Here is a 13,161-nt window from a genome sequence, read left to right as displayed (position 1 = left end):
GAGTAAACTCATAAGAGCATACCTAGAGCACAATGACATGTTTGGGATCTAACCACATACTTTGACTATAAGGCATGTGCTTATTCACTCGGCTACATTGCCTACTGGGTTCATTGAGTTATAAGCTATACCTTAATAAATAATGACCAGCTTACCTGAGCTTTGCTGTGCACAACTGTATATAATCCTTGTTACTGGAAAAATGATTTATGATGTTTCAATGACTGTGAATATATTTGTTTGAATTATAATGCCCTCCCCTCCTCCCTCCAGAATTCTATCCCTGAGTTACATTATTTACATTTTGGGAAAAAGTATAATGAGATCTTGTAGGCATAAGAAAAGCAGTTCTCTTAGAGAGTTAGTCTTCAGAGACAGAACAAGACTTCCAGGAAGTAGAAGGTACATTCAGTCAGTAACATAGGTGAGGTTAGAAAGCAGTACTCTTTGTATTAATAAAGACAATATGTTAAATGCATAAATATAGGACATTTTTATATTGTCATGTATTTTTTCAAAAAATTAGGAATTGAGAAAGAAAATGTTTAGACTATGTGTCTTTATTTTTCACGTGGGATATTGTAAATACAGCTTCAGAATCCTGAACTGGGGATGGACGGGGAGAGGAGTTAACTTTTGTCTGTGCTCTGCACATAACTAATTATATATCTTGATGATGACTTTTTATGCATTCTTCATTTGAGAAATAGGAAAATTGGTATAAAATATTATGCAAGAAAATTAATAATTTTAATATATTTTCCACTTGAAAAATAAGAGAAGTGTTGTAAATTCTTATAGTTACTTTTATACCTAACGTTCTAAGAGAAATTCTCTAGAAAATTGTATTACACAGCGAAAATATATGTATACATCACATATTGAGAAACAAGGATCCTGATAACTTATACTGGGAAAAAAATCATACCATGAAAGAAGTCCATTTTTCCTTACTCAAGTTACTTTCTTAATTTTATAAACACAAAACTCTAGTTTTTATTGATAATGATTTTCTTCAGAGCTTCTTTCACCTCCTTATTCTGGAGGCTATAGATTAAGGGATTCAACATGGGAATGATCACTGTGTAGAAGACAGAGGCCATCTTGTCTGTGTCCAGGGCATGGCTAGAGCTAGGCTGTAAGTACATAAAAATGAGGGTCCCATAGAATATGGTGACTGCCAGCATGTGAGAGCCACACGTCGAGAAAGCCTTCTGTCTTCCCTCAGCTGAATGCATCCTCAGGATGGCAGAAATGATGAACATGTAGGAGACAAAGACAATCAGAAGGGAGGAAATGAACATGATACCAGCACAGGCAAAGATCCAGAGCTGTTTGAAGCGAGTGTCTGAGCAAGTTAGCCTGAGGAGAGGCATGTCATCACAATAGAAATGGTTGACAATGTTGGAGTGGCAATAGGAGAGGCGGAAGGTGAGGATGGTGTGAAATAGTGCCATTAGGAAGCTATAGCTATAAGGAACTGCTACAAGTTGAATGCAGATTCCTGGAGTCATTACAACCATATACAATAGAGGGTTACAAATGGCCACATATCGGTCATAGGCCATGGAAGCCAGTAGCAAGGATTCTGATATCATGAAGGTGAGAAAGCAGCCCAGTTGAGTAGCACATGCATCAAAGGATATAACATTTTGTTTGTACAAGAAATTCCCAAGCATTTTGGGTGTAATGACAGAAGAGTAACAGAAATCCACAAAAGCTAGGTTGCTAAGAAAGAAGTACATTGGTGTGTTGAGACTTGTATCCGCTCTAATGAGTAGGATCAAACCCAAGTTGCCTACCACTGTGAAGAGGTAGATGGATAAGAATAGCACAAAGAGGGGCATCTTCAACTCCTGATGGTCTGTGAGGCCCACAAGAATAAACTCTGTCGCCTGGGTGCAATTGATGTGAGCCATATCTTTTCTGGCCATCTAAATGTGGAAGTAGAGAAAAGAGTTAAGTCTAAGTCATATTTTAATACTGTAAATCCTATATGTGGTGTTTTTATATTTATTGTATTGTAAAGAGTTTAATTAATTAGATTTATTTATTAATTTATTTAACTAATATAATGATTGTTAGCATACTGGAATTCTGGAAATGTGATGGAGAGCAAAAAGAATATAACACCGTATAAACATCTTTATATCTAAAGCATGAACTTACATGAATGTAGGGAATGAATCCTCACATAATCTTATCCTGTAAATTAGAGTAAAATTGATATTTGCTTTCTAAGAGATTTGGAAGTTTATGTTTCTTTACATTCAGTTTATGTCTGCTTTTTTATCTTTTATTAAAAAACTGATTTAATTACATTTTTTGCATTAATTTTTGTTTTCCTACTCTATTTAATGTTGTGTATCATCATTTTCTTATTCATTTTGGATAATTTTAAAATTGAATTATTGAATACCCAAATAGTATCAAATATCATGTCTCTCAACTCCTCTTTCTTCTCTCTCCCACCATTATATCTAGTAATGGAAAATAGAGCTTTCCTTAAAAACTTATAAATTTCACGCTTTGAAAATTACTATGCAAATAAATATATAAATAAAATAAGAGCCTGTGTTTCTTCACTGTTCTTCAGAGTTTACTAATAGCTCTTGAGTATTTACTTCTGCTCAATTAATCAAAGAATCCATTTCAGTTATTTGTGTTTTGTATTAATAAACATATTTATTGAGCAACATAATGTGGTAAGTAGTAACTTTCAAAAAATACTTATTTACCTTAATTTTATTCTAAATAAATTATATTTATTATATGTATAAGATACATATTAGATATGCAATATGTAAGTATATACTAGATATCCTAAAACCCTAATACAGATGGAACATTAATGTCTAATTATAGCAACATGGAAATTGATGGATAAGGACATAGGAACCCATAAATTCCAAATCTCTAATTGCATGTTAAAAACTGAACGTCAATTTTGAGTTAAAATAGGAAAAAGAAAAGAGAAAAGGGAGGTAAGTAAAAAGAGAATTTTTGGTCTTTGCACTGCTCAGACCAAACCCTTCTCAAGAAGACTAACTTTCAGACTCAAACTTTTTTATGACAAACTATAGAAATAAATACTTGTTATAAGATGGCATGGAACTAATAGATATATTGAGAATAATACTTTTGCTTCCCTGACATCCGCTTGTATTACATATTCTTTCGTTTTCTAGCGTAATCTGTTCCATTCTATTTAATTCAAACAATGCTTCTTGGGATCCTAAAAAGTGGATTTAAGATCTACTAGTAGTTACAAGCACAGTTTCAAAACCTACACACTAGTCCCCACACACTGAACCATTTTCACTAACATGAGTAGATAAGCAACTTACCTTTAACAGTTCCTAGCTATACCACCCACTGTAATCTGTAACCAAGACTGAACATTCTATCCTTAACATTTTCCTGGATTTTGTCTAACTGCTACTCTTGTAGAAGGTTATTTCAATTCATTCAGTTCTTTATTCAATAATATATAGTGGGGACTATTAATTTTCAGAGCGTGCATAGAGTCTGAAGATAGAGCAGTGAAAGAATAGATAGTAGTCCAGGCTGGAAAGAAAGCAAGCGTTATCCAACTTTACCCTATATTTCTGGTCTCTTTTCTTATCATTCGTTTTTCTCCACCTGTAAAACACAAAACCCTGAAACGTGTGCACACAAACTATTTTACTTTGAATCCAAAGGAGAGCATGCATTATATTTGAAAGGACATGTGACTTTTTATAGTATCATCTCTGAATATTTTTATTATCCCGGTTCCACTCAACTCTCCAGTCAGCAGGAGCATCCATTGTTTCAATTAATGATTGGTCTCAATTTGTCAATAACAAAATGCCTTTCCATACTTCTCTATTTTTAATCTTGCCATTCCTAGTTTCTTTCTTTACAGAAAAATAGACAGTGAAAATGGAAACTCCTACTTATCTTTCAAGCTCTGCTGAAATATCACACTTCTATGAAGAGCTACTTAATTTTTCCTTCCCATGTTAACAGCTTTCATATTTGTCTTCCAAAAACATTTTAGACATACCTAATCTATATTTCATCTCTTATTACAACCATCTGTTTCCATATATCTTCCCCTGATAGACTTTAGACCCTTTGTGGTTGAAAATCACGCTGTTTTTATTCATTTCCTAATGTAGTCTCTTCTAGATGTTAGATGATGGGGAATTAAAGATTAATTTTGGAATGACATTTGAATATTTCTTCCCCTTGCCCCTAGGTTATATTATTTTCTTTGGAAAATATCTCTAGAGACATATTAGTAATGTCTAACGAATGCCCCACTAATCCTGGGTAAAATTTCTAGCTACTGCAAGAGGGGAAAGCAGAGTTTGGGCATAGAATGTATAATTTGGTCAATAACGGAACTGTTTATTTCCAAACATTTTTAAAAATTCTAAACAGGAATTTTTAGTTACTTCAATCTAATAAGAAATATTTTAAAATCACAATGCATACCCACATATAAAATTAAAATAAAACCAGAGAAAACACTTTATTTTATAAAATGTACTCGTAATGATTTTTCTCTAATTATTGTACGGCACTCTTTAATTTTAAAAATACTTATCTCGAGTTAATATAGCAAATGTATTAGCTATAAATGAGTCAAAGCCCACCATCTTGAAATATGCTCTATTCTACCTGGGAAGAGGATACTTGTATTTCTCCTCATAATAGGTGTGGATAGCAATGACTATGTGGTTTTTGTTAGTGTCTCTTTCCCAAAGGATCTTGTTCCAGAGTATGAAGCAAGTAAGAGTATCATAAAAATTACAGTCTGTACTTCATTGGAATTGCAAGGCAGGCTAAAGATTTATTGACCTGATCTGTTTTTAAATAACTGCAGATGTGAAGCTGTTTTTAGTATGACATTATTAAGGGTCCTCTAACTTTAAAAACATTACTATATTTTTATGTTTTACAAAATATATTTGCTGTTGTAGATTTAGTGTCAATCTTCAATATTGGCTTTGAAAGGCAGGTAGCTAACTATCTTTTTTGAAAATTCTCACAAATAGCTTTCTATGAAATGTGTATCCAATTCTTCCAAGGACCTACTCCTTAATATTTTATGCATGAGACATTTTGCAAAAGCTCTGGGCATGTGCTTATGTCCTAGTCACTCCAAACTAGACAACGGATAAGAAATGTCTTGTAAATTACTGTGTGAGTAAGAAGAGTGGATTTGTATATTTTCCATATTGGCTATAAATTTAAAATCATCCCTGTAGTTTTCTGTTAAGTAAATTTCTAACAATAACAGTAGCTTTATGAACACAGTACTTTGACTGAAACAGGAAAAGTGACAAAAGCTTAGAAATCACAACTTAGTTAAATGGTGTAAATATTAATTAGGATAAGAATTATAAGTGTGTGTGTAATATATTAAGTAATTATTTGAGTACATAGTTGTTTTTTCAAATGAGAAATACATCTAGTAAAATTGGCTTAATTTTCCATCTCTGTGATTTCGTACAAAATGCCATGACTTGAGGTTTGATATTGAGATACTGAATCGATATGTGCAGTACAACATGCACATGTACACACACACACACACACGCACAAAAAAAAAAAAAAAAAAACTTTCAGAGGATGAGTGGTGATCCTGATCCTGGACTAGCCATTTGACACTAAATCCTTACCAATGAATAAAAAATATTTTAAAACTCTAAACATTACATTTGGTTCCCCAATTCTCTTTATTTTTTGTCTTAAAATATATGAGATTAAACAATAAAATAATGAAATAATTTTAATACCTGAAAAATCAGATTTATAGATGGCCACAGAAAGCCAAAATTGTCATTTGTAAAATATGGAAGTTCAGACGCTTTATATAGAAAATGTTGTATGTATTTTAAATGATGGTATTTTGAAATATAAGTTAATACATTTCTTCCTCAGAGAATAACAAAGGCCTTTACAATTCTTATTCAGAGTTGTAACTGGCACTGTAAGTGTCTATATGTAACTCATGGCTTAGTCCATTCTACATTATCCTTTTTCTCATTCTTATATCTCATCACAAACATAACTTAGAAAACAGTGTCTGTGAGTAAAGACATACTAACACCATACCCAGAGAGTAGACTTGACTGTTCAGATAAATGTAATGTGGCAATTTTTTTTAATCTTGTCACATTAGACTAGATTTGTTTACCAGTGTTTAATGTTGATCAGTGAGTGAGTGTATACTAAAAGTCACTATACAATTCCATTCTTTCTTACTTTCAGCGGATCTATGAGTTCCCATGCCTAAGTTTTCTAAATTTCAGGAAAATAAAAAGATTCTGAAGAACTGCAGCACCTCCTTGCTTACCGAAGCATCTGTTAATGCTGGCCATGCTTCAACAAATGCCATTCATCAATTTTTTTGTAATAAAATTAAGGAAATGATGTCCCATATTAACTTAGGGATCTTTTACAATGTTATTTTAAGTGATAAAGGAAAACTTTTTTATTTAAGAGGCCTCATATGTTTTCTTCCTAAACTGGGGAGCTTAGAAGGCAATCCTTCGGGTAACATTAATTAGTAGAGAATAATCGATTAATCAAGAGTTTCTTTTAATAGTTTCATCTGTTCCTATTATCATCCAATAGATAAAGACATTGCATAAAAGAAATGATTAATAGAGTATTATTGATTTTATATTCCATTTACTTGGTGAAAGAATCAACTTTGCTGACCAGTGTGTTGGCCTCCAGAACAATTATTTCAACATCATAATGACACTCAATGGCCACAGGGAATTTACTGCTTTGTAATGTGTTGCTTATGTTACTCAGCTGTTTAGCAGTGGATCAACAATGATGGCTCTTCTTTTTGTCCTTTCAAAGGAACTTGTTTTTTACTGCAGAATTATTCCTGAACTTCCTTGCTTTAATCACTGCGCTCCGGCCACACTGACGTTCTAGCAATTTCTTTTTGTCTGTTTGTTTGTTATTGCCGTAACTACAACATATTTTAATTTCTGGTTATTTTTCCATATACAGAAGCAAGACATTGGGTAACACGTAGTAAATCTAAACGATTCCATAAATATTATATTGGAACAGAAAATGTACGGTCACAAGAGATGAACCATATTACCAGGTCGTGTAATTAGATGTGCAAACTCAGTTGCATATAAATGTTACCAAGTTCAGAATGGATCAAGCGATATTGACTTGTACTGGGAAGACACTAAACATTGTGCATGGCCTTTGTGTTCTAGTCTTAAGATTTGAGTACTTGCTATTCCCTCTGCTTGGAACACTCCTCCACATAGTCACAAGCCCTGCTTGCTCTCTGATATTATTTTATATATTTGCTTATTATCCATCTTCCTTGTCAAATAGAAACTCCATATGAGAAGAAACTTTGTTTTGTTCATTACTGTACCTTTGGGGCCTACAATAGTATCTTGCACAAATTAAGCACCCAATACATATTTTCAAAAGTTTGTAATACATACATCTTCTGTAGCATGTGACCATTTTGTTGAAATAGATACTTTCATGGTCTTTGCACTTTTGACAGATTCAGGAACAAAAAATCAACTAAGGCTATGACAAGTGTCCACTCACAGCTTGATATTTAATGGAGTTATTAAAAATATCATTCCTCAAACTTTTAATAATATTCAAAAGTAGATGAATCCTGATGGCTGAATTTACTTTTACCATCAGAGACTAAACTTTATTATTATTATTACTATTGCAATTATTCAGTAACATCAATACTCATTCAGTAGGTATATTATATGTCAGGCATTATGCCACATGCTTTCAAACATTTTCAAATTGTATTATCTATGAAATTTCTACTAAAAAACATTTTTTTTTTTTGAGACAGAGTCTCACTCTGTCATCCAGGCTGGATTCCAGTGGCATGATCTTGGCTCCCCGCAACCTCTAACTCCCAGGTTCAGGTGATTCTCCTGCCCCAGCCTCCTGAGTAACTAGGATTACAGGCACCTGCCACCTAGCCCAGCTAATTTTAGTAGGGATGGGGTTTCACTATGTGGGCCAGTATGGTCTCGAACCCCTGACCTCAAGTGATCTGTCCACCTCAGCCTCCCAAAGTGCTGGGATTACAGGCGTGATCCACAGCACCTAGCCCTAAATAACATTTTTGTAGTTTCAATTGTTTCCTCTGTTTTGTCGATTACATTTTTATTTTTGAAAAGGTGAAACCCTAGGTTTTTTTTATTCATCAAAATGCTGAAATTATACATAATTTTTCTATAGTATGGGATATTTTTCCATTGACTGTAACAGATTTGACTCTTGCAATGAGCAATCAAACAAAAAATAAGCAATCAAACAGAGATACCTGTGCTTACATCTGTGCCACTGATTGATAGAAGTGGAAGATGGGTCTGCCTAATGTACCCTCATCACCACAGTGTAGTTCTCATTAATCCTTGGAAGCAAAGTCCAGTGTTCTCTCCACTCCTCTAATGAAAAGTTTGTGTTTTCTCAACATTGTTTTTTCCACTTTGACTTGTGTAGGTGGAGATTGGGAGGTTTATTTGTTTGTTTTAATCCTCATTTTAAGGCCCTAGAGAGTTTAAAATAAGGTGTACTTTTCATCTGATGTCCTCAAAGAAGACTCTACTGGGACATTGTTATTAATCTCACCTTTTCTCCTGAGTTGTGGGAAATTATTATGTGAGAACTTTAGGTAGAGCCAATGTAAACAAAGGAAAAAACATTAAATGGTGTAGAGACTTTTTCATAGTTAAGAAAAATCATGAAATTACTAATAAATATGCAATTTCTAGAGTCTCAAGTCTGTCATTGAAATGTAATTTCAATAATTGAGGAAATTGTATTTTAGCTCAGGCACACAAAATGACTCTCACTATCTAATTTTCCTCTAGGAAAATTATTAAAGATAAAATATATCTTTCTAATCTAAGAAGAATAAACATTTATCTAAGAAATATGAGCTTTCTAGATCTTAAATTTTTCCAGCTGACAATTTATTTTTTCCAGTGGAGGATTTATAATTGACAGAAGAACCGTAGTGAACTTGGGTTTTTTTTTTAGTGATACTGAAGTCAACAATATGGCCCTACATTTGAAGTTTACATGGTTCTAAATGTTTTAGGGGGAGATTCATTCATGGTCAAAGGGCAGTATTAGTGATAAAGATTTTATTGGCAAAGCAGAATTTATGGATGCATCTTGGAGAATTAATGTTAGAAAATTACTAAACTTGGTGGGAGTGTAGATTATATTGTCAGCTTCAGACAGCTTTTTGAAATGTATCTGAATTCTATGGAGATGAGCATTGGCTGACATTTCTAAAGCTATTTATACTAAGCTTGATCAGATAAATAAACAATTAGATTAGAGCTAAGAAGCTGTGTATTCCACTCTCAGAAAAAGAAGTTGAAAATGATCAGTGGAGATGACTAGAATGAACACTGTGATGCTAGATTAAAAGCTGTGTCATCACTATGTGCTTAAGCTTATCTAGATAGATATAATAGTGAAGTAGGTAGGTAGGCAGAGAGATAGATATAAAATATCTAATATATATGTGTGTATATGTGTATGTGTGTGTAGATAGAAGATAGATAGATTGATAGATAGATAGATGATTTGTTTTATAAAAAACAGGGTCTTAATCTGTCACCCAGGCTGGAGTGCACTGGTGTGATTACAGCTCACTGCAACCAGCAACGCCTGGGTTCAAGTAATCCTCCCACCTCAGCCTCCGAGTAGCTGGGTTCAATGATTCTCCCACCTCAGCCTCCGAGTACCTGGGACTACAGGTGTCCACCACCACATCTGGCTAATTTTTTAATTTTCGCAAAGATGGGGTCTCTCTATGTTGTCCAGGCCGATCTTGAACACCAGGGCTCAAGTGATCCTCCTGCCTCAGCCTCCCAAATTGCTGGGGTTAAGAAGAGAGCAACCACACCCACCCTTTTTGTGTATTTAAATGGTTTGTTATCCATGCTTATAATTCCTATCTAAATTTGCTGAAAGTAACTAAAAAGAGTGACACCTTAGTAGCAACCAGCACACCTTGTATCTATACCTTGATTTCTAAAAACTCAGTGGTTCTATCAGGAGTCAAGCCCATGGTTGCTGATGACACAATATGTTCATCTGTCTTTCTTCCCCAAGAATAAAGAGGCCTGAGGTTTTTGTGGGGAAAAACATACTAGACTTAGCAACATAAACTGTGTTATTCAGATTTTCATTTTTAAAATAAAATTCCATTTATTCGTATGGAAAAGGAGGGAGATGGGCCACAGTAAGTCTTAGCTAACAGAGTGATGTTGATGAATGTCAGGCATTCTTGTTGTTTTTAATAAAGTTCACACTTTATTCAGCTTTCTTTAGTTTTTGCCCAATGTTCATTTTATGTTCCAGCATCTATCCAGGATAGAATATTGAATTTTGCCATTATGTTTTCTTATGCCCTCTTGACTTCCTATTTTTATGACTGTGATAGTGGTTAAGTGTTTTCTGAAATGTCCCTCAATTAGGCTTTTTCTGATATTTTTCTCATGATTAGACTGGGGTAATTGGTTATTGGGGAGGAAAATCATAACTGTAATTGACATTCTAATCATATCATAATGAAGGTACATACTATCAGTATGACTTATCACTGCTCATGTTAACCTTGATCATCTGGCTGAAATAGTGCCTGTCAGGTTTCTCCACTGAAAAGTTACTCTTCTCTCCTTTTCATATTAACTTTTCAGAAGGAAGTCAGTAGGTGCAACTTACACTTACAGAATGGGGAATTATGCTTCACCTCCTTGAGGGCAGAATAGCTACATAAATTAGTGAGAATTTTGTAGGGGACATTTGTCTCTTTTCTTCCATTTATAATTTGTTCAATCATTTATTTCTACCAATATGTTATAACAATTATTTTATACTTTGGATAATAATTCAATTCTGATATTCTACATTATTTATTTTTGTTGCACCAATTATTCTGGCTTTATTCATTGGAAACCCTTTCACTTTGCTCCTGTGTTATTTTGACATAGCTCTATCATCGTGTTTCTCTTTTGCTTTCTTCTTTCCTTCCTTCTTCCCTACCTTTCTCTCTCTCACGTTCGTTCAGTGCTTCCTTAACCTCTGGAACTATAATATGCTCTGGATTCATTACGTAAATGTCCCACCCTTTCCTAGTCAAGTCTCAAAGGAGCTCTGGCTCCTTTTTTGGAATATTGTTATTAGAAACTGTTATTTGGGTTCTAAGTCTGTTTGCTGCACTGAATTGTTCACATACCTTTAGGCCTTCTCAGCTGACAGATCAAGGAGGTAGAACTGTGGATACTCACTCATATATGTTGTATATACATATCCATAACTATTTCTATCTAGTGTTTATATTAAGTTGATTATAAGTTCATTTCATCGTTAACACTAATCCCTGATCACATGGATCACTCTAGAATACTCTCCTTGCTAATCTATAACCTTCTACTCCAATAATGTGAAATGTGGGAACAACCATATGCCATCCATTTATTTAACTGTTCATTTCTAGTATACAATCATACTTGTTTCAGAATTGTTAAAACATATCCCTATGAGACACAACTTTATAATTACAGTGTAATGTATCGTTCATTAGTTCATTCTGCCTTTAATTTTCACACTCTTTTAGATGTTACTTACATCAGCACATTTACCCCATCTCTTCCAGGGAAATTGTTTCATGATTTGTGTGAGTGTGTGTGTGTGTATGTGTGTGTGTGTGAGACAGGGTCTCACTCTGTCTTGCCGGCTGGAGTGCAGTGGCACAAACTTGGCTCACTGCAACCTCTGCCTCCTGGGTTCAAGTGATTCTCCTGCTTCAACCACCTGAGTAGCTGGTATTATAGGCATAGGCCACCACTCCCAGCTAATTTTTGTATTGTTAGGATAGAGGGGGTTTTGCCATGTTGACCAGGCTGGACTCGAACTCCTGGCCTCAAATGATATGTCCACCTCCGCTGGGATTACAGACATGAGCCACCATGCCTGGCATGTTTTGTGCATTTTTAATACAATGTATTGTTTTGCCACATTCTGCACTCCTTTTCAGGTTCCTCAGACCTACTAAATGATTTATTTTTAAATTATCTTTCATTAACATTTACTCTCTGTTCTGTATACCTCTATGAGTATTTGAAAAAGGGATGGTGTCATTTATCTACCATTACGGTATTATATCATACTGAATAGTTTGACTACAGGAAATAATTCCATGTGTCTTACCTATGTAACTACACCCTTTCATCCCTCCTTTCAAGCAAGTCTTCTCATTTCCTTTAATAAATAATTATTTTACACAACCACCTTTTTCTATTTAAAAAAGTAATAGTGGTGTTTAAATATTCACAGATATTATGGTAAATTCACAGTGTATGATTTCATTGCTGTAGGCATTATCTTGTTATTTTTTACATGTTTTTTTAAGGAGAGCAATAAAGGAAAGTAATAGATGGAACCCATGTACCCTGATTCACAAGAGAGAGGAAGCATAAAACAGACAGGATTGGAAAATATCTACTCAATGCTTTTATGAAGAAACTTCTAAAGATTAAGAAAAATATTCAGGCTGGGCATGACGGCTAACGCCTGTAATCCCAGCACTTTGGGAGACTGAAGTGGGAGGATTGCTTGAGACCAGGAGTTTGAGACCAGCCTGGGCAACATAGTGAGTCCCCGTCTCTACCAAAAAAAAAAAAAAAAAAAACCATGGTAGGTGGTGCATATCTGCCATCCTATTTGGGAGGTGAGGCGGGAGGATCTCTTGAGTGCAGGAATTTGAAGTTACAGTGAGCTATGATCACACCATTGCACTACAGCCTGGGTGACAGAGCAAGATCCTGTCTAAAATAAAGTAAAATAAAGAAAGATATTCAGAAATTTCTTCCCAAAAAAGTTATACTCATTGTACTGTTAGTTTCTTCAACACAAATTGTTTGAAAGGAACATAGATACAACTTTATCATTACACAAAGAGTGGTTTAACATTCACTCTTTACTTCAGGGTCTAAATAAAATCAAGCATTTTCTGAGACATTCTTCATAGCACCAGGTACACACCTTGTGCAGAGGTCCAAACATTTTTTTGTAAATTTATTTCAAAGGATAATTTTTCTCCTTCCCTAGAAATGTCCA

The 13,161-nt window shown here is 34.3% G+C and overlaps 1 protein-coding gene across 1 annotated transcript; it reads right to left on the bottom strand.

Moving 5' to 3' along the window:
- Positions 1-989: 989 nt before the first annotated feature.
- Positions 990-1,919, bottom strand: OR8U1 (olfactory receptor family 8 subfamily U member 1). Its single transcript, NM_001005204.1, has one exon. It carries the CDS (start codon positions 1,917-1,919, stop codon positions 990-992), a length of 930 nt encoding a protein of 309 aa, NP_001005204.1.
- Between the last annotated feature and the right edge of the window lie 11,242 nt (positions 1,920-13,161).

The sequence above is a fragment of the Homo sapiens genome, chromosome 11, assembly GCF_000001405.40.
Source record: "Homo sapiens chromosome 11, GRCh38.p14 Primary Assembly".
NCBI classification, from domain to species: Eukaryota; Metazoa; Chordata; class Mammalia; order Primates; family Hominidae; genus Homo; species Homo sapiens.
The sequence above is the reverse complement of the archived record's forward strand: the minus strand, read 5'-3'. Positions and strand labels throughout refer to the sequence as shown.

Coding starts and splice junctions, on each gene's coding strand:
- OR8U1 (NM_001005204.1), bottom strand. CDS start 1,919: ATGGCTCACATCAATTGCACCCAGGCGACAGAGTTTATTCTTGTGGGC.